Genomic DNA, 22866 nt, shown 5'->3' with positions numbered 1-22866 from the left:
TTCTTGTGGTCATACTCTCTTCCTGTGGACAGGGGACCATCAGCCCTACTTGCCACCGCATACTGTCTTATCAGAAGGAAGAAATCCAATCCCATATCCCGCTTCTAGGGTGAAGCCAAAGTCCCAGATGCGGTTAGTGGCGATGGTGGAATTCTCCTGCCACCTAGCGGCAGATTAGAGGTGCCACCGCAGCTGCCGCAGCAACAGCCCCTCCCACAGTGCTTAACTTCACAACCATGTATATACTTGGATTGCAGCTACTCCTTGCTTCACCACTTTTGCTCATAATTTTATCTATATCTGTGCCCAGAGATTCCTTCTTTTCTCTTATAGGCCAAGGTAGCATCTGTTTTCAAGTCCAATCCGCTCTTCACTCAACAATTTCTATCCTTGGTCCTGCAGCGCTGCCACTTAGGAAGCTGACTAGGAGAGGAGCCCACAAGATGCAGACTCTACTCCTAGCACCCGCAGAACTGAGCTTTCCAGGACGATGATCCCCGCCCCAGGACCTGCCAGGCCGCAGGAGCTCTTTCTCAAGTTGTCTAAGTGGTCAGGTAGTCCAAAAACTGGGAGGCAGTTTCCTATAAACTCCTTGGGTCAGAGAGTCCTGCGCATTTGTCCGCAAGCAATGTTTACTTATTTTTACAACAACAGCAAATGTCCATTGAAGGAGACAGCAATGCCCCAGCTGAGAACTGTCCCCAAAGGAGGTTTTGCTGGGCCAGTAAAGTGGCATATTGGTCTAGTATTTCTTGTTTGTGTTTAGTTTATTTATGATTGCTTATAAAGTTTTCTCCAGACCATTAACTCATGGCGTGCCTGAGCAAGATGCTCTTTGTGGAACAAAATTTGGGACTTTGTTCCAAATTTGGGACTTTGTCCCATCATGGGACTTTGGTGCCATACTTAAGGTGGGGGCTGGCTCTGCTCCATGGTAGAGAGGCTTACTTCCCAGCTGCAAACCTCACTCTCACACGTGACATATATCTAATGGCCTTCTTTAAGTAATGCCAAGGACTTAAAGCCTAAATTTGTTTATATTGTAATGAGATATAAATTGCAACAATGAAAAATGTGTTCATTACCAATGAGTAAACTAGTTAGATATTCAACTGAAAAGTTTAAGAAAGTGCAGCTAACATGACAGTGAAAAGCAGAAAACAAAGACCAGGAATATAGAAAAATACAGGTTAAAAAACAGCGGGAACTGGCCGGGGGTGCGGTGGCTCACGCCTGTAATCCCAGCACTTTGGGAGGCCGAAGAGGGTGGATCACAAGGTCAAGAGATCAAGACAACCCTGGCTGACAAGGTGAAACCCCATCTCTACTAAAAATACAAAAATTAGCCGGGTGTGGTGGCGGGCGGGCACCTGTAGTCCCAGCTACTCGGGAGGCTGAAGCAGGAGAATGGCATGAATCATGGAGGTGGAGCTTGCAGTGAGCCGAGATCGCACCACTGCACTCTAGCCTGGGCAATAGAGTGAGACTCTGTCTCAAAAAAAACAAAAACAAAAACAAAAACAAACAAACAAACAAAACAGTGGGAACGAATTCAAATCCCACTTATTTGAAAGTGCTAAAATGTAGAAAATGTAGAAAATGTAACACAAATCTCTTTTACTATAAAATTGAGCAAAAAGCCCAAACCTAGTAATAGGCAAAATGTATCACAGGAAAAAAATGGCAAATAACTGTTGAAACTGTTACACCTCACTAATAAAGATAGAAATATTAAATCTGTATTCCAGTTTTCATTTATTAAATTGTCATAGAATAAACTAAAACCCCATGTAATGTCCAATGTCAATGATATTGTTATGAAACTGGAACCATTATACACAACCAGTGAAAGTATAAGTTATTACAATTTGCCTGGAAATCAATGCAGCCAACTCTGTCTTCAAAAGGCTTTAACATGGTAATACTATTTTACCTAGAAATTCTTCATTTGGGAATATGTTGAATGAGAACAATCCACAGAGAAGGCAAAGACTTCTTCATAGAGAAAGCTGTTCATGAACATATGGGAAATTTATCAGGGTGTGAGCAGGCCCCCCTCCCCAATATAAACCTACAGTGTCAAGGGAGTACAGTGAGTTTCTGCTGAAAAAACCACAGGCTTCCTCAGAAAACAACTTGTAGTTTGTTTCAACACACAGAAAATGAAAGACTCAGCATCCACCATTATGGGCTGTAGAGAAGTCATTGCACTCTGTGCCTGAAAATTTTAAAACTAGGTGCTAGCACACTCTCCAAAGCCATAAATGACCTCAGTAAAATATATGATTTCTAGTGAAGAAAAACTATAGTTCTCAAAGTGATGAAATTCAATGTGCTCCTATGTCGAGTGTTCAACTATAAGCAAGTTAATATTTTAGGATATTTGTCTTAAGAAGATGATCTGAATTTTGGAATAATTTTACTCAAAGACATTACTCCTGAGAGCAACAGAGAAAAGGACCGGTTGTTTCTCAAAGCCACCAGTGAATCAACCTTGTCAGCAAACGAGAGTTAAGGATTGTGGCTGCAATTGACAGAGGACTTTCAAGATTAAGGGGCCGGGGCCCTGTGGCCGCAGTAATATCCATTTTACTGGGCATGTAGCCTATATTATTGATTTGCCCTCAGAGTTATAGGCACCCCCAGAACTCAGCAATTCACCCCGATGGTCATGATACTTGAAAGGATACATCATTCTTGCACTCCTGCCCCTAGCTGCCGGGGCTGGAAGCCTGGGTCCCTTTTTCTCTCTGATTTGATCGGTTGTCAGGTCTTGCCCGTTTTGCCAATTTGTATGTCAGTGTTTTTTCTCCTCTCCATCCCTGTGGACACGGCACCCTGCCAGAACTTGGCAGTTTCCTTTTTCATGGTCTCTGCCTTCAGTACTGCCCCTTAATCAAACCTCCACATTGGCTGCACAGGGGCCTCTGTGCCGCCGCCACACAGCTGTGCACACCTCATAATGCCTCTCCCTGCCTAAAGCATTTCAAGGCCTTCAGTGTTCCTTAGAGTAAGGTGCAGCAACCCTCAGCTCACCTTCCACACGTGAGGGTCCAGGAGCGGCTGGTTAGAGTAGGTTTACCTACAGAGAAATCTACAGACCATGCCAGGGGTCCCTCTGTGGGACAGCTCAAAGAATTCCTCGGATTCTGAATTGAAAGCCTAAGCAGACCACCAGGAGGGTCCTAAAGGGAAAAAGGCCTTGATATACAGGGCCCAAGCTACATTTTCCTGTGTGCAAGCAAATTTGTTCTTTCGGATCTCCCAGAGGGTTCCATTGTGAATTCCACCAAGGGATATATACAACACTACTAGCACAGTAAGTAGTACAATCCTCTAATCTGTCGAGATTCTGAAAGTTGTACCTGCCTCTTTTTAAGAGATGACACTTACGAGGAGCCTTCTTCATTATCAGCTTCCTCCTACTCTTATTAGTGACGCTAAATAGATCATCCTGGCTGTGTCAGCGGCATGCGCTTCTCTGTGCAAATGGTCTGGTTCTGCAAGCTGCCCATTCACCTCCCAATGAGACTTGCTTTCTGTGCTATCCCTTGTTCTGAGTGAATTCAGCTTGTGAGCTGCTGTTAACAGAAGCAATCACCACAGAACATTTTCTAGACCCAGGAGACTTCCTGGAGCTTCTCTCCAATGGCTCAGAATCTTCCCCTGAAACAGCCAGCTGGATGGGGCCACAAAGCTGTGGAATCAAAATATTGGCCTTGTAACAAGCTTCTGCGAGAAAGCCTCAAAAACATTCTGTTTTGAAATAATCATAGATTCACAGGAAATAGCAAAAACTGTGCAGGGTAGTCTCATATACCCTTAACCTAGTTTCCCCCAGTGTTTATATCCTGTATAGCTGTAGTACAACATCAAGGACGTGGACACTGTACCATCTGCACGTTCAGCTCAACTCAATGCCATCTTATCACGTGTGTAGATAGTGTAACTAGCACTGCAATCAAGATGCAGCACTCTTCCACCACCACCAAGATTTCTCCCACGCTACTCCTTTACAGCTGTGTCCATCTCTTTCCCCCACATCCTTAACCTCTGGCAATCACTACTCTGATCTTCATCTCCATAACTTTGTAATTTCAAGAATGTGCTCTAAAAGCATTAATACCTTTGAGACTGGCGTCTTTCACTGAGTATCATGCCCTCGACATCCATCCACACTTTTGTATCAGTCATTCATTTTTTGATGCTAATAAAATATTTACTGTTTTGTGGGATTGGCTATTTCCATTTTTTAGCTACTGCAAAGTTGCTAGGAACATTTAAGCGCAGGTTTTTCTAAGGACACACATTTTCATTTGTCTGTGGCAAATGCCCATGGCCATAATTGCTGTATCATTTGATAGGTCTATGGTTACTTATTCAAAGAGCCTTTCAAACTATTTTCCAGAGGGACTGTAACATTTTACATTTCCACCAGCAATGTATGAGAACAAATTTCTTTCTTTTTTTTTCTTTTCTTTTTTTTTTTTTTTTTCTTTTTTTGAGATGGAGTCTCACTCTGTCGCCCAGGCTGGAGTGCAGTGGCGCCATCTCAGCTCACTGCAAGCTCCACCTCCCGGGCTCACGCCATTCTCCTGCCTCAGCCTCCCGAGTAGCTGGGACCACAGGCTCCCGCCACCTCGCCCAGCTAATTTTTTGTATTTTTAGTAGAGACGGGGTTTCACCGTGTTAGCCAGGATGGTCTCGATTTCCTGACCTCGTGATCCGCCCGCCTCGGCCTCCCAAAGTGCTGGGATTACAGGCGTGAGCCACCGCGTCTGGCCCCAGAAATCCAATTTCTCTGCAACCTCACCAGCAATTGATATAATCTTTTTGTTGTTGTTGTTAATTCGGCTGTCCTAATAGGTGTGTGGTGATATGGCATTGTGGTCTTAATTTACATTCCTCTTATGGCTGGAGTTGTCGAACATCTTTCTGTCGGCTTCTCATTTCTATATCCTCATTGATAAAATGGCTTAGTTTTTCTAAGTGACTTTTTTTTTTTTTTTTTTTTGATGGAGTCTTGCTCTGTCGCCCAGGATGGAGTGCGGTGGTGCCATCTTGGTTCACTGCAAGCTCCACCTCGTGGGTTCAAGCGATTCTCATGCCTCAGCCACCAGAGTAGCTGGGACCACGGGCGCACACCACTATGCCTGGCTAATTTTTTGTGTTTTTAGTAGAGATGGGGTTTCACCATGTTGGCCAGACTGGTCTCGAATTCCTGGCCTCAAGTGATCTGCCCGCCTCAGCCTCCCAAAGTGCTGAGATTACAGGCATGAGCCACGGTGCCCAGGCTCTAAGTGAGTTTTTTTAAAAATGTATTGGGCTTTGAGAATGATTTCTATATTCCGGATATGAGTCCTTTATTATATATGCATTTTGCAAGTCTTTTCCCCAGTGTTGAGTGTGGCTTTCGTTATCATAACCGGGCCTTTCACACAGCAAAAGTTTTAAATTTCGATGAAGTCTGATTGATTTTGTTTTTCTTTTATGGGTCATGATCATGGTGTCATATATATGTAAGTACTCTTCATCAGACCCCAGGTGCCGAAGATTTTCTGTTATGTTTTCTTCTAAAAATGTAATCGTTTTATGTTCTGTATTTAAATCTATGATCGATTTTGAGCTAATTTTGAATAAGGCGTAAAGTTTAGGCTGAGATTCTTTCTTTGCTGTGTGTGTGTGTTTGTGTTTGTGTTTTGTTTTGTTTTGTTTTTGCCTTTGGATGTCCAGTGGTTTCATTAACATTTTAACATTTGTTAAAAATACTATATACTATCCTTTCAACATTGAATATTTTCTTTTGCACATTTGTAAAAATTCAGTTAGCCCTATTTACGTGTGCTATTTCTGAGTTCTGAATTCTATATTCTGTCCCATTTGCTTGATAAGATAGGTATTTAAAAGATAGATATAGATATGTGTATTATACAGAGATATATCCCTCCACCAATGCCATACTGTCGTGATTATTGCAGTCATATAATAAGTCTTAAAATTGAGTATAGGGATTCTTCCCATATTCTTTTTTCAAAATTATGTTTAGCTATTCTAGATCTTTTGATTTTTCACATAAATTTTAAAATAAGCTTGCATATATTTACAAAATGTCTTGGTGGAATTTTGATAGGAATTGAGTTAAACTTGTATATTAAGTGGGGGAGAACTGACATTTACTGCATTGAATCTTCCAATCCATAACCACAGTATATCGCTCCATTTATTTGGATCTTTTTTGGTTTCTTTCATCAGCACTTGTATTTTTCAGCATACATGTCCTATACATGCTTATTAAGTTTATAAGTATTTAAAAATAAATAAGGTTTATTTTTGAGTGATTGTATATTATATTATATTATATTATATTATATTATATTATATTATATTATGTTTTTTGAAATGGAGTTCCAGTTTTGTCACCCAGGCTGGAGTGCAGTGGCACGATCTCTGCTCACTGCAACCTCTGCCTCCCAGGTTCAAGCAATTCTTCTACCTCAGCCTCCTGAGTAGCTGGGATTACAGACGCCTGCCACCACGCCCGGCTAATTTTTTTGTATTTTTAGTAGAGATGGGGTTTCACCACATTGGGCAGGCTGGTTTCGAACTCCTGACTTCAGGTGATCCGCCTGCCTGGGCCTCCCAAAGTGCTGGGATTACAGGTGTGAGCCACCATGCCTGGCCCTATATTATATTATAAGTTTTAGTTTCCACCTGTTCAACTCAAAACTCAAAATGGTTGAGTTTTGTATGTTGATCTTGTAGCTTGCACCTTGCTGAACTCACATATTAGTTCTAGGAGTTTTCATATATCCTTTGGGATTTTCTTTGCAGACCATTGTGTCATCTGCAAATAGAGACAGTTTTATTTCTTCCTTTCATATTTGTATCCTTCTTTTTTTTTTGAGACGAAGTCTTGGTCTGTCACCCAGGCTGGAGTGCAGTGATGCGATCTTGGCTCACTGCAAGCTCCGCCTCCCAGGTTCACCCCATTCTCCTGCCTCAGCCTCCCGAGTAGCTGGGACTACGGGCACCTGCCACCACGCCCGGTTCATTTTTTTTTGTATTTTTAGTGGAGATGGGGTTTCACCATGTTAGTCGGGATGATCTCGATCTCCTGACCTCGTGATCCACCTGCCTCGGCCTCCCAAAGCGCTGGGATTACAGGCGTGAGCCACCGCGCCCGGCCTCCCTTGGGATTTTCTTTGCAGACCATTGTGTCGTCTACAAATAGAGACAGTTTTATTTCTTCCTTTCCTATTTGTATAATTTTAAAGTAAAAAGTCCCTTATTATGCTGGATTTCCAGTGATATGTTGAATAGGAGTGGTGAGAGCAGATATGAATTCCTTGCTCCTGACGTTAGGAAGAAAACATTCAGTTTTTTGCTATGAAGTATAATGTTAGCTGTAGGTTTTGTGTAGGTACCCTATATCAAGTTGAGGAAGTTCCCTTCTATTTCTATTTTTCTTAGAGTTTTTTTTCTTTTTGTCATGAATGGGTATGAAGTTTTGTCAAATGTATTTTCTGCATTGATTGCTATGATGATGTGATATTTTTCTTTTTAGCTAGTCAATATGGTGGATTATTTTCATTTATCTTTTAGCATTGAATCAGCCTTCTATTTCTAGAATAAACACAATTTGATCATTTTATATGTATGTAATTGCTGAATTCTCTTTACTAATATTTTGTTAGGATTTTTACATCCATATTCATGAAGAATGTTTGTTCATAGTTTGGCTTTTTTGGATTGTTTTTGTCTGATTTTGGTATCTGGGCACTATTTATTTTATAAAATAAATTGTTCCCTTCTTTTCTGTTTTCTGAAAGAGATTGTGTAAAGTTGGTGCTAATTCCTTTTTAAACATTTGGTAGAATTCGCCAGTGAAACCATCTGGGCATGGAGATTTCTGTTCTTCGGAAAGCATGTGTATAATTTCTCAATGAAGCACATTTGCATCATTTCAGCATTTGTTTCTGATGACTTTCGTTTCTCATTCCAGTTGAGATTTTTGTGGTTCTTGGTGTGAAGAGTGACTTTTTATTGTATCCTAAATATTTTGGGTGTTGTGTTATGAGACTTTGGATCTAATTAAATTCTTCTCTTTCAATAGACTTTCCTTTTTAAGAGACTGTATGAGTGGGAAATAAGGACCCCACCTCAGTACCGCCTGGTAGGAACATAAGTCCGGGACCCCCAGGTGGTCTCCATGGACACCCAGTGAGCGGGAGGCCGTGCTCTCCAGCACAGAGCTGGGGTAAAAGTTCAGCTTCTGCACTCTGCCTTTGCTGACACCACCCTGTTCAGAGGGGAAGAGGCCCCTTTTCATTGCTCGCCTGTGAACTCCAAGGACAGAAAATGGGGAGGGAGGCCTCATTAGCATGGGAAGGCTTCTCACTTGCCACCCCTTAACAGCACCCCAGCAGGGAAGGTGCAGGAAGGTAAAAGTTCAAGCTCCCCAGGTTGTCTCCGTCGGCACCACACTGTGGCAGCTTGTTACTGCCTGGTGAACGTCGAAGTCCCAGATTCTCACCCTGACACCACACCAGCAGGGGAGGGCTACCTCAGTATCACCAGGCCAGGCTGGAAGTCTAGGCTCTCCCCTCTGTCCTGCTGAGTGGGTCGAGGGTGGGGCCACAAGTTTTCCTACGGGCGTTTGTCTCCAGTAGGGAAACTAGCCTCCGAAAGTTTTCTGTCTTGCTAGCTTTCTCCTTTCATGGTCTTTTGGCTAGTGATTGCAGGTTATTCAGGGGCCTTTTGTGTGTGGTCTCATAGGAGGGGATATTCATGGATTGGGAAGAAGACAATTTTAAGTGTGCCCGGAACAGAGTGAGTATCAGAGTTGAATAGGCTAGGATAAGGCAGCAGGTGTAAAAATCCAGAAAGCCGGCTGGGTGCGGTGGCTCACGCCTGTAATCCCAGCACTTTGGGAGGCCGAGGCGCGTGGATCACAAAGTCAGGAGATCAGACCATCCTGGCCAACACAGTGAAACCCCGTCTCTACTAAAAATGCAAAAAAAGTAGCCGGGCGTGGTGGCAGGCGCCTGTAGTCCCAGCTACCCGGGAGGCTGAGGCAGGAGAATGGCGTGAACCCGGGAGGCGGAGCTTGCAGTGAGCCGAGATCACGCCACTGCACTCCAGCCTGGGCAACAGAGCGAGACTCCGTCTCAAAAAAAAAAAAAAAAAATCCAGAAAGCCAAAATCTGCCTACAAAATGCCCATTATCAGTCCAATCTACCTGACGCCTTTTCTACTGAGCTTAATCTGCCTCCCCATGCATTTCCGTAAAGTAGGCAATGACAGCTATTATCATTACTTAGGCTTTTCTCTTTTGGATAGCTGCTTTATCCAACCTCCTATTCTCCAATTCACAATTGAATTGGAAACAGCGTGATCATCGGTAGAGAGTGTATTGGGGAAAAATATTCCATGCAGATATTGGATAAACAATTTTAAAATTTATTTTGCTGGTACTCAGACACCCATGCTTGTCAATTTTATGTTAGGAGACCAAACTTTTTTATCATTTAGGCAGAATCCAACTCCATCCTTCCCCATACCCCATTAATGAGTAATGCATTGGCCAGGCTTGGTGGCTCACGCCTGTAATCCCAGCACTTTGGGAGGCCGAGGCAGGTGGACCACTTGAGGTCAGGAGTTCGAGACCAGCCTGGTCAACATGGCGAAACCTTGTCTCTACTAAAAGTACAAAAATTAGCCCAGTGTGGTGACAAGCGCCTGTACACCCAGCTACTTGAGAGGCTGAGGCAGGAGAATCACTGGAACCCAGTAAACGGAGGTTGCAGTGAGCTGAGATGGCGCCACACGCCGCTGTACTCCCGTCTGGGCAATAGAGCAAGACTCTGTCTCAAAAAAAAAAAAAAAAAAAGCATTAAGTGTGTGTAGCATTCTCTATTGCTTCCCATTTCCACTCTTCCCACTTGATCCAGTCTCCTTCTTTGCTGATAGAGACTTGATTTGTAAGGATGTTTACTCTCCAATTTATTCATTAATCATAAATCCCTTCCTTCATCCAGGGTCAGCTTAATCATAATAAATTCAAGTATCACCCTCCATTCATGCACATGTGGCAAAATCTAGTCGGAAGGGTTTGTGGATATTTTCCTCCATAATAAAAGCATTGTTTTAAAAAGAGACGGCCAGGCATGGTGGCTCACGCCTGTAATCCCAGCACTTTGGGAGGCCGAGATGGGCAGATCACCTGAAGTCAAGTCAGGAGTTCGAGACCAGTCTGGCCAACATGGTGAAATCTCGTCTCTACTAAAAATACAAAAAATTTTCCAAGCGTGGTAGCAGATGCCTATAACCTCAGCTACTGGGGAGGCTGAGGCAGGAAAATCGCTTGAACCTGAAAGGCGGAGGTTGCAGCGAGCCGAGATTGTGCCAGCCACTACACTCCAGCCTGGGTGACAGAGCGAGACTCCACTAAAAAAAAAAGAGAGAGAGATTTGAAAATAGTTTGTCTTCAGCACTGACGCTCTAATATCTGCATGGGATTCCGGGAACTGCCCTAGTAAGCACACAGTCGTGAAAGAAACATCACCAAAAATCTCAGGAACAAAGGCAGAAACCACCCATGGCTTCAGTGATCCGGTTGAGCCACTGTATCAAGAAATCCTGGAATGGCCTACCTGTAGGGCATTTAAAAAGTAATTTTAGTTGGGTTGTATTTTACTTATAGCTACAAGCATCTGAATTGATCCCAAGCATTCCGCAGTCTGATTTGGGCAACAAGTTACGTGTTTCTCCTCCAAGTAGCCATAGATTCCTGGTTTCATGCACCAGCACCGCTTCTTTGACTTTTGGTAGAGTCCCCAGGTCAGGTGGGTGCTGGGGAGGCTCCAAGTAACCTCAAGACAAACATGAGATGGAATACCTCATCTCCCTAGTCAATTTTACTCAAATAGAAATTTTTTGAATGCAAAATACCGTGCAGAAACATATTACAATAACCAACGACCATAAATTACAATGAAACTTGATTCACTTCTGAATCACTATTTACTTTCAGCCCTTGTTTTCTTACATGGTATTTGGGACTCAGAGGCTTCATGGTTGCAGCAGGTGTAAGCATGCACACAGGATTTTTTTTAAACCCATCAGGGAACTAAGGTTACAGGGCAACCTGCCACCCTGAAATCCAGAGAGAAGGTTACTCCAGGGAGATACAGCATGTAAGACACAGAGAAAAAGCCACTGGGCACCCTAGGCTGGAGGAAGCCCTAAGAGCTCGCTTTAGACAGGAATACCGAAATCTCATCCCATCTTGGGGGAGGGAAGTGCACCCAGTCCAGCGTCACTCCAGCCTTCTTGTGTCATAAACTTGATGACCTAGATGAAATGAGGCAATTCTTTGAAAGACACCAACTGCCAAAACTCACTCAAGGAGAAATAGCTACCTAAAACACCAGCCCCCGATGCTTTCACTGGTGAATTCTACCAAATATATATATATATTTTTTTGAGATGGAGTCTCTCTGTGTCGCCCAGGCTGGAGTGCAGTGGCGCGATCTCGGCTCACTGCAAGCTCCGCCTCCCGGGTTCATGCCATTCTTCTGCCTCAGCCTCCCGAGTAGCTGGGACTACAGGCGCCTGCCACCATGCCCGGCTAATTTTTTGTATTTATTTTTATTAGAGACGGGGTTTCACTGTGTTAGCCAGGATGGTCTCGATCTCCTGACCTCGTGATCCACCCACCTCGGCCTCCCAAAGTGCTGGGATTACAGGCGTGAGCCACCACAACCCAGCCTCTACCAAATTTTTAAAAAGAAATAGTACAAATTAACACTTTTTTTTCTGGAAAGTTTGAGGTTGGAATACTGCTTAACTCATTTTATGAAGCTAGCATATTCATATGAACACTACCTGATTCATTTATGAAGCTAGCATTAACCAAAACCAGATAAAGACATTACCAAAAAAGGAGACTATGGAGAAATACCTCTGATTAATTGAGACACAAATCTCCCTAACATATTTTAACAAATCATATCCAGCAATATATAAGAGGAACAATATAATGTGACCAAATGGGGTTCATTCCAGGAAGGCAAGGCTGATTCAACATTTATAAATACTGATGTATATAATTTATCCTATTAACAGTATAAATAAGAAAAAATATGATCATGTCAATAGATGTAGAAGATATATTCAACAAAATTCAACACCCATTCATGATATACAGTCTTGAAAACTAGAAATAGCAGGGATCTTCCTTAACCTAATAAAGGGTTTATATGAAAAGTTTGCAGCTAATTTTATTCTAAATGACTAGAGAAAGAATGCTTTCCCTCTAAAATCAAGACCGCATGACATTGGTGAAAGAGTAGCCACATAGATCAATGGAGTAGAATAGAAAACTCATTAATGAATGAACACAAATATTGTCAATGGATTTGTGGCAAAGGTGCAAAGGCAATTCAGTGGTGAAAGAATACTTTTTTAACAAATGATGGTGGAAAAATTGGATGTCCGTATTCAAAAAGTGAACTTTGACACAGATCTCACATCTTACACAAAAAGTGACTCAAAGTGGATTATAGAACTAAATATAAAATGCAAAAGTACAAAACTCTTAGAGGAAAATATGGGATAAATTTTCATGGCTTTGAGTTTGTTGACAAATTTTTAGATATGATAAAAAATACAACCCACAAAAAAATTGATAAATTGGACTTTATTAAAATTATGTTTCCCTCTGTGAAATTAACTCTTGAGGGAATGAAGAAACAAGCTTCAACCTTGGAGGATATATTTGCACGTCACATATCTGATAAAGGACCTGTATCCAAAATACACAAAGAACTCTTACAATTCAGCAAATAAAAACAAATAACCAAACTCATAAATAAGCAAAAGAATACCTTATATAACATGTTCAAGACACCTGTAGATAGTGTACAGCAAGTCCTTGTTTTAGACTTTTTTCTTCATTATATTATTCACTATTTATACAATTCCCAAATAGGAGTGTCTAGGAGCTTTTCTCATGAAAAAGAGGGAAGTGATCTAAAATTACGAAACTGAAGCCTGAGACTAAGATTACACATTTTACACACATGCATATCACTATTTTTCATTCTAAAATGAGTGTTTTTCTATATCAGAGAAATTATATTCAATTCCATTTTGTAGGACTCTATAGCAGAGCCTCTCCGATATGAACCTGTTTAATTTGTATAATGTTGATAATTATTTTCCATTCACAATAACAACAACAAAGGCTTTTTACACTATATAGTTTTCAGCAACAAACTGCAGTCACTTCAGTGTCTAGCTCCGAGGTCTATGAAGTAGAGTTTATCGGGCCATCTAGTGGCCACTAGATCAACCAACAGTTTTTTGTATTTTCTGTTACTGTGAACAACTACAGGCTTCACTAAATTTACACTAAGTCTAAAAAAGCTAAAACTAGACCTCCCTGCAGACTGTCTACAACTGTCCTGAACATAACATAATTCATGACCCATATGTTTTGCTAATGTAACAATTGTATTGTATCTTTGTGGTATTGCACCTTACACGGGGCACCAGTTGAGGTATGGCGTCTTACCAGAGGGCATTAGCTGCGGGGGTTTGCCCGCAGACCCTGACCCAAAAGACGGATGAATAAAACGTACATTGACATACAGATACTTTGTTTCGCCAGTCCAGCTGAGCGTCCGACTGCCTGCACACCAGGAGAGGTTTGTCACTGCGGCTGGTCCTGAGCAGCTTGCACTTCAGGCATTTATTTAGTATACAATGAACAACAGAAGCTTTGAGTAAACACACTTGAGGATAATTAACATGGTTAAGAAAGTAGTTTTACAAATGATTAAAACTTAGGTACTACGGTTTAAAGTAAATACCATTAGGGGGCAATTTCCCTAGTTGACCTCCCCGCCCCTACCCCCACCCACAACCACCCAGAGGGCCATTTGGCTTAAAGATTAGTTAATGGAGGTAGGGTAAACAGAAGTAACTGGGGAATCCTCTATTGTTCCTAGTATTTACCCTATGACCTAGTGCTCTAAGGTAAGAACCGGCTGCCTTTAGCCTGTTCAATTATTACAAGCTATTTAAGCTTTTGGCCTTTCAAAAGATTTGTGATTATTTCCTATAACTTTCCCTAATATTCCCTTTAATATTTTTGCCATTATCCTAAGTGACTCACAACAGATCTTAATATAATTATTACATAAATGTATAATCCATATTTTTTAGACCTGATTAATTGAATGATTCAGTGGGATATATCAATTTTTCCTCTTTCCATTGTAATAAATCTTGTTTAAGTCACTAACATGTCTTGCCTGGAAGATTATTATCTCCTAACTGGTCCCTTGTCATCCTCTCTGGATTCTTAAAATTCATTCAACAAAGAGTAACTCAATCTTTTAAAGACCTGTGTATCATAGTAAGATCATGGATTTTCTCTGCTTAAAATTTTCCAATGAGGTTTCATCACAATTATAATGAAATGTGAACTCCTTTTCACTGTTTACACAGTCCTGTGGGATCTGGTCTCCACACTCCTCTTAAACTTCATTTCCTACCACTCTCCTCTCCATTCACTAGAAACCAGCTATATTATTTTTTGTCGTCGTTGTGTGTTGTTTCTTAAACACATTCTCCCAGACTTTGGGCTTTGGGTGTGTTGTTTGTCTAACTGGAATAATTGGTGCCCACATACCTACATGGGTTGCTTCTTCTCTAAAACCATGGGTGGTTGCAGACCAAATACCATGTCCTCAAAAATGTATTCCTTCTTAGTTACTCAGAAATTAAACACCAGCTGCAATCAAAGAAACTCGCAAATCTCAGTGGCTTAGTTATATATTACATTATATTAATCATGTAAACTTCAGTATGGGTAAAGGGGAGTGAAGACTGAGAAGTTCTGTTCCATGAACCATTCAAGGACTCACTCGGGCACCGATCCTTTTATGACTTGGCTCTCTTCCTGGTTCTCAGAATCCATGCCGTTCACCTGTCAGAGAAAGTAAAAGAGTGTGGAGGATTATGTCAGAGATTTTTATAAACTGTATTTGGGAGTGGAGTACTTTATTTCTACCTATATTAGTTGGAATTCAGTCACATGACCTCAACTAACTGCAGCTAGGGATGGTATATGTGGGGCAGCTGTGTGCCCAAGAGAAAACAGGATTTGATGCGATCACAGCGTTCTCCTCTGCCATGGTAGCCCTTGTGTTTATCAAATATCCACTTTACACTTCCTTTTAAATGTTGAACACACTCTCCCTAGAGGAGACAATCCAAAATTCACCTACGTATTGAATCCAGCTCAAAGTTCAGGATTTCAGAATTATACTCAGCCTTCTCCACCAAGTTCTGCCGTGGTTTGTCAAGGTCAGGGACCCAGGAACTAAAAAGATAAGTTATGTTTCAAACAGCCAATAGGGGGAAGCAAAAAATAACCATAATGAGAATTCTCGTTTGGAAACGAAAAGGAGGCACATTACCGTTATGGACTCACAGGAATTACGGAATCTTGCTGGTACTTGATGATGTGTCTGTGAAGCAAGTGGGAATTAGTATTCCAGAAGAGCAAATACATGGGATAGAATTTTAGTTGCCACCTTTTCAGGTAAGATGGGATAGAAATGGAGTCCCTGAAATAAGAAGTATGTTTCTGTACATTTCAATACTGAACCAAGAAAGGACATGTGGCTTGATGATACGTTGAAATATTTATCTGGGTGTTTCACATTTTTCCTCTCCCTCTTCCCATGTGTACTCTGAGGGTCAGACCACTTGCAGACATGAGTCACCTACTTTGAAGGAGCAACCAGAACTCTGACTCCAAAGAGTAAAACTTGATAACGGAAAAGACAGTGAAAAGAAATATTCTGTTTCACACTTACAGAGTTAGTTTTAAAATGGTCCTAAGAGGTGAAGAGAACATGCTGATGGAAGAAAGAACGGAATGGATAAAATTTGATCTCGAGAGGTGAGGTTAAAGCTGAGGTTGATGGTAGGATACAAATGGATGTTCTTTTACAGCACAAATCATTTTTATAGCAGGATCCTGACTCAGTGCTCAGGTCTGTTTCTCCTGGAACTTTCTCTTGGGAGAAGTCAACCCATCAGCCATTGAGCATCTTATGCTTATCTGTCCTTCCTTGTTTGTATCCAATGATTCTGGACACTTGTAGATAATTCTAGGACCAAGGGTGAGTTATTTGAATACAGTGGGAGATGATAGCAGAATAAGCACCTAGTCACAGTCAGTTTAGAATGACTCTTATAGAAAGTAGACTCTGATTCAGCATGAAGAAAAATCTATAAAGCAAATGGAAAACAAAAAAGGGGCAGGGTTGCTATTCTTCTTTCAGATAAAACAGTCTTTAAAACAGCAATGATCATGAAACACAAAGAAGGGCATTACATAATAATAAAGAGTTCAATTCAATGAGAAGATTTAATTGTCCTAAATATATATGCAACCAACACTGGAACATCCAGATTAAAAAAACATTTTGTTAGAGACCTGAGAAGACAATTAGATATCCATACAATAATAATGGGAGATGTCAACGCCCCACTGACAGTATTAGATAGATTATAGAAGCAGAAAACTCACAAAGTTATTCAGGACCTAAAACTCGACACTTGGCCAAATAGACCTAACATAACAACAACAGAATATACATTTTTCTCAGCTGCCCATGGCATATACACTCTATAATCACTCACACACTCAGCCACAAAGCAATTCGCAACAAATTCAAAATAAATGAAATCATCCCAACCACATGGTCAGACACAGTACGGTAAAAATAGAAATCAATACCAAGAAGATCTCTCAAAATCACACGATTACATGGAAATTAAAAAATCTACTACTGAATTTGGGTAAACAATAAAATTATGGCAAAAATCAAGACATTTTTTGAAACTAATGAAAACACAGATACAACATACCAGAATATCTGGGACACAGCTAAACAGTGTGAAGAGGAAAGTTTACAGCATTAAATGACTACATGTAAAAGTTAGAAATACCTCAAATTAACAAACTAAAATCACACCTAAAGGAACTAGAAAAGCAAGAGCGAACTGATGACAAGGGTAACAGAAGAAAATAAATAACCCAAATCAGAGCTGACCTGAATGAAATGTAGATGAGAAAAACCATGTAAAACATATCAAAGAAACCAAAAGCATGTTCGTTAAAATAATAAATAAGATTGGTAGACTGCTAGCTAGACAAAGAAAGTAAAAAGATCCGAATAAACACAATAAGAAATGACAAAGAGGACATTACTACTAATCCCAAAGAAATACAAAAAGTCCTCAGAGGCTATTATGAACACCTTTATGTACACAAACTAGAAAACCTAGAGGAAATGGTTAAATTCCTGGAATTGAATCTGGAAGAAATTGAAAACCTGAACATACCAATAATAAGTTTCAAAATTGAATCAGTAATTTAAAAAATACCAACCCCAAAAAGTCCTGGACCAGAGAGATTCACAGCTGAATTGTATCAGACATATAAAGAGATTCAGTAGTATCAATACTACTGAAACTATTCCAAAAAATAGAGGAGGAGGGACTCCTCCCTAACTCATTCTGTGATGCCAGCATTATTCTGATATCAAAACCTGGTAGAGACACAATGAAAAAAGAAAACTTCAGGCCAATATCCCTGATAAACATAGATGTAAAAATCCTCAACAAAATATAAGCAAAATGAATCCAGCAGCACATCAAAAGGATAATCCACCACAATCAAGTAGGCTTTATTCTTGGGGTGCCAAGTTGGTTCAACAGATGCAAATTTTAAAAAATGTGATTAATCACATAACCAACTAGAAACAAAAAACACATGATTATTTCAACAGATGTAGAAAAGACTCTCACTAAAATTCAACATCCCTTTATGTTAAAAGCCCTCAATCAACTAAGCATCGAAGGAACATACCTCAAAATAATAAGAACCATCTGTGACAAACCCACAGCCAACATCATACTGAATGGGCAAAAGCTGGAAGCATTCCCCTTGAGAACTGGAACAAAACAAGGATGCCCACTCTCACCATTTCTATTCAACATAGTACTGGAAGTCCCAGCTAGAGCAATGAGGAAAGAGAAAGCAATAAAAGGCTCCAAATAAGAAGAAAAGAAGTCAAACTATCTCTCTTCACAGATTGTATGATTCTATACCTAAGGAAACGCCATGTTATCTGTCCAAAGCTTCCTAGGTCTCATAAACAACTTAAACAAAGTTTTAGGATACAAAATCAATGTACAAAAATCAGTAGTATTTTTATATACCAATAACATCCAATCTGAGAGCCAAATCAACAACACAATCCCCTTCACATTAGACATACAAAAAATATAATATATATAGAAATCCAGCTAACCAGGGAGGTGAAAGACCTTTACAACACGAATTAAAAAACACTGCTGAAAGAAATCAGAGACAACACAAATGGAAAAACATTTCATGCTCATGGATAGGAAGAATCAATATTGTTAAAATGGCCATACTACCCAAAACAATTTATAGATTCAATGCTTTTCCTATCCAACTACCGAGGACATTTTTCACAGAATTAGAAAAAAACTATTCCAAAATTCATATGGAACAGAAAAGAGCCCAAATAGCCAAGGCAATCCCAAGCAAAAAGTACAAAGCTAGAGGCATCACTCTACCCAACTTCAAACTATACTGCAAGGCTACAGTAACCAAAACATCATGGTACTGACACAAAAACAGATACAAAGATCAACAGAACAGGTTAGGGAATCCAGAAATAAAGCCATATACTTATTTTTACAAATGTGAGAAAATATTTACAAAATATGCATCCAACAAAGGCCCAATATCCAGAGTCTATAAGGAACTTAAGCAAATCAACATGTTAAAAACAATCTCATTTAAAAATGCTGAAAGAACATGAACAGACATTTCTCAAAATAAGACATACACGTGGCCAGCAAGGATATGAAAAACTGCTCAACATCACTAATCATCAAAGAAATACAAATTAAAACATCAATGACATACTATCTCATACCAGTCAGAATGGCTATTATTAAAAAGTAAAAAAAACAAACAAACAAAAAAAAGCACATGTTGATGATGTTGCAGAGAAAAAGGATGGCTATTGAGGATATAAATTAGTTCAGCCATTGTGGAAAGCAGTTTGAAGATTTCTCAAAAAGCTTAAAACAGAACTACCATTGGATCCAGCAATCCCATTACTGAGTATATACCCAAAAGAATATAAATTTTTTTACCATAAAGGCATATGCATGTGTATGTTCATCATAACACTATTCACAATACAAAGACATGGAATCAACCTAGATGTCCATCAACTGTGGACTGGATAAAGAAAATGTGGTACATATACACCATGGAATACTATGCAGCCATAAAAAAGAACAAGATAATGCCCTTTGCAGCAACATGGATGGAGCTGGAAGTCATTATCCTAAGCAAACTAACACAGCAGCAGAAAACCTCATGTTCTCAATTATAAGTGGTAGCTAAACATTTAGTACATATGGACACAAAAAAAGGAACAATAGACATCAGGACCCACTTAAAAGTGGAGGGTGAGAGGAGGGTGAGAATTGAAAAACTACCTATCAGTTACTATGCTCATTAATTGGATGTCAAAGTAATCTGTACACCAAACCCCTGTTACACATAATTTACCCATTCAACAAACCTGCACATGTACCCCTTGAACCTAAAATAAAAGTTGGAAAGAAAAAAAAAAGGACCCTCTGATTCAGGAAAGGGGTGCATACATGGTCCATGCTATATAGGACATGCCATAACTGTTGGAGTTCTCTGATATGTAGTTGTCTTTCCTACTAGGCTATAAGCTCTATGATGGCAAAAGTAGTGTCTCCTTTCCTCATTATTTATTCCTCAGCTCTTAGTGCAGTGCCTGACTTATAGTAAGTTCTCAATAAAATGTGTTGAATAAATGAATAACTTTCCAGTAGCCATTTATTGCTCAACTCAATGAGAGTCAGGCATCAAAGCCTGTACATTTTCTGTGTTTGTACCAGGTCGGAGACAAATGTTTATGAAACATAGATGAAGTCCCTAGAACCTTCTTCAGAAATAATGAATTGTGTTAAGGTTTTTGTGCCCCAGATCTTCAAGTTGACCATAAAGATTCCACCGTGTCTAACAATTAACCCAACTTCACCATCTAGGATAGACCATTTGGTGGTTAGAGGGTGGTGGGTATCGATTCTTGGCAACCAAAGCCTAAAGTTTATGCCTCAACTGAGCTTTGAGGGAGCAAATTACATGATATAGACTTATGTACTATGCCTTCATCCTTTGTATTGGCAGCAATCCTTAGATAAGCGAGATGGCTTTTAAGTGAAAAGTCACCTAAGGACATGAATAGCATAAGGTACATGGTGAGCAAAACGACTTGATCTACGTATTTTGGAGTTCCCGGACTAGTAGGGGTGGGAAGGAAGACAGAGTAATAGGTAGGTAGACAATATAATGCAATCATAATATGATATAAGTTTAATGATACTGAAAGTACAATGGATTATAGAATCACAAATCAGCAATAGTTAATCAGTTTAAGAAGGTTAGGAAATGCTATCCAGCAGAAATGTCACTAAAATTGAAACTTGGCCAAATGAGTGTTAAAATACTGGGGATCAGATGTTCCAAACAGGAGAGCATGGATGAAGGCCCAGAGAAGAGAGAGATCATAGGGCATGGGTGGGAAGAAATGGGGGCGAGGAGAAGGCAGGGAAAGATCAAGAATGATAGGAATGATGTACTTCGGTGAAAGTATGGTGCATTTAAAGAACTGCGATAAGATCATTGTTGCTAAAGCTTCATGTGTGCTTGCATTCGTGTGTGTGCATACACGTGCGTATTCATGAGAAGGGGTTGGATATAGACAACAGTACATCTGGAAACACGAAGAAATAATACAATGAAAGAGAACATGCATTATAGTAATAGGTTTGGCCTTTGTTCATTCTAATAGCAACAGGAAGCCTCTGAAGGTTTTAATCAAATTTGCTTTTTGGGAGAGATAAAATAACAACCTTCTCTTCATTCTCCTTAAGTCGTTCCATCTTTTAGTGCTCCTTTTGTCTGGTTAAAAACTCTAGGGCTTAAGTGTAATTGATTTGGAAAAATCACCAATGAGTGTCAGTGTCATTTGGGGGCTTTGAAAGTAACCAAGAGCTTGCATGCATAGCTTCGTTAAGACCATTCGCACTAGGCTGGGTTGCCTTTGATGCCTTTGTATGGGTTCAGATTCTTAGAAAGAGAACTATCTATGGTTCATAAAGGAGACCCTTTCCTTCACTATGCTTAGGGTGAAAGTGCATCCCTCCCCTTCCCTTCCAGAGTCAGCAGACAATTAGGAAAACAAATTAACCATTCTCTCCACCAACCGCTAAATCAGCTTAAACTGAGCTGAAGCAAAAGTGACTAAGAAGCAGTGGTCATAAGAGGTGGTATAAAAGCCACTTGGTGACCAGAATCCCATTATGCAACAAGGCGAAGTGGGGGCAGACAAGGAGAGGGCAGGCACCCTGGATATAGCATTTTGAGGGAGGTGACTGTGGCAAGGGACAGAGAAAATGCGAGTTACAAGATGATGAAACCATCCCATGAGACTGCCTCTCAGATATGGGACGTGGGAGTGTGCTAATGAGACTGAAACGCACAACCCATAGTTTCTGTCCCAGATTCCAAATTTTACATCTCTTTGTGGTAACTGGCAGAACTCTACAGAAAATCGAAGTAGAAATATTCTTTGTGGTTTATTAGCTATTTGGTTTGTAGAGGGAAGGTGAGACATTATCAGTACCTGTAATGGGAATGGTGAGCTCCACTCCATGGCTGTTGCATGGCAGGAGGCTACATCCAAAACATGTCCTTCTGGGCAGAGAGAAGGCAGGCACCCTGGATACAGCATTTCAAGGGAGATGACTGTGGCAAGGGACACTGGTTACTTTTCCACCTGGATAACTGTAAGCCTACTCCAAAACATTCTATTCCTACATTCCCAGGACAGAGGGTCCTTCTCCTTAGGTTACAAAGATCATCCTGACTTGGGTAAAGTGAATGAATTGTGGTGGGGATAATTAAGACGGCAGGGGAGCCAGACGCAAGCTGTTGCAACAATCCAGTAGTGAGCAGAAGCCGGCTAAACGAAGACAGTGGCAGTGGGGTGGAGAAAAAAGGCAGAATTGGAGAATTCAAGAAGTCAGAACTTGCTAATTACCTTGCACTCCAGGTCAAGGCTGACATAGGGAAATGATGATAGAGCCAAGGTTTCTGGCTTGAGGAACTGGATGAGGAATGGATGTTTTTAAGTGGAAAAGTGAAGAAAGACAGGGAGATCTTGAGATGGCAGAGAAGGGATAAATTCCATTTGTGATATTGACATTTGCATTGCATATCCAGGAAATAATGTCACACAGGTAGATGTGGTTGTCTTTTGTTGTTGTTATTTGTTTGTTTATTGCTTCATTCCGGACAGTATTTTAGGTGTTCCAGAAAGCATTCATACATATGGTTGTGGATTTAGCTCCAAATGTGAGTGGATAGAAAAATATGGGAGTCAGCACAGACAGTGGATGAAACCCTGCATGGGACTGAGACGCTGAAGGCTGAGTAGATGGACAAGAAACAAGCCAAGGATGAGGACTCTAGAAAGCATCCCAGTCCAGGCAGGCAGTGGAAGAAAGACCTACAACAGAGAAAATTCGAAAACAAGATTCAAAAGAACCACAGAGGCACTGGGAAAACGTGATGGTAAGGAATCCAGGCAGAGAGACAATCAAGCACTGCACACAGATTTAGATGGTGATAGAAAG

General features: G+C 40.5%; 1 long non-coding RNA gene across 1 annotated transcript, besides 1 other annotated feature; it reads right to left on the bottom strand.

Annotated features, from left to right (window-relative positions):
• On the bottom strand, positions 12686-15135 carry LOC124903576 (uncharacterized). The gene is made up of 2 exons (XR_007064789.1): positions 13644-15135; positions 12686-12805 (listed from the first exon to the last, which is right to left on the bottom strand). It is a non-coding gene; the product is annotated as an uncharacterized LOC124903576 (long non-coding RNA).
• Positions 13447-13968: an enhancer, noted in NCBI's record as "NANOG hESC enhancer chr15:23873940-23874461 (GRCh37/hg19 assembly coordinates)". NCBI's record gives its function as "activates a minimal SCP1, AML or CMV promoter by ChIP-STARR-seq in naive H9 embryonic stem cells {active_cell/tissue: H9 hESC(naive)}" and the evidence as "EXISTENCE:reporter gene assay evidence [ECO:0000049][PMID:30033119]".

The sequence above is a fragment of the Homo sapiens genome, chromosome 15 (assembly GCF_000001405.40).
Source record: "Homo sapiens chromosome 15, GRCh38.p14 Primary Assembly".
Taxonomy (NCBI): domain Eukaryota; kingdom Metazoa; phylum Chordata; class Mammalia; order Primates; family Hominidae; genus Homo; species Homo sapiens.
Note: the sequence above shows the minus strand (reverse complement) of the source record. Positions and strands in the feature narration are given on the sequence as shown.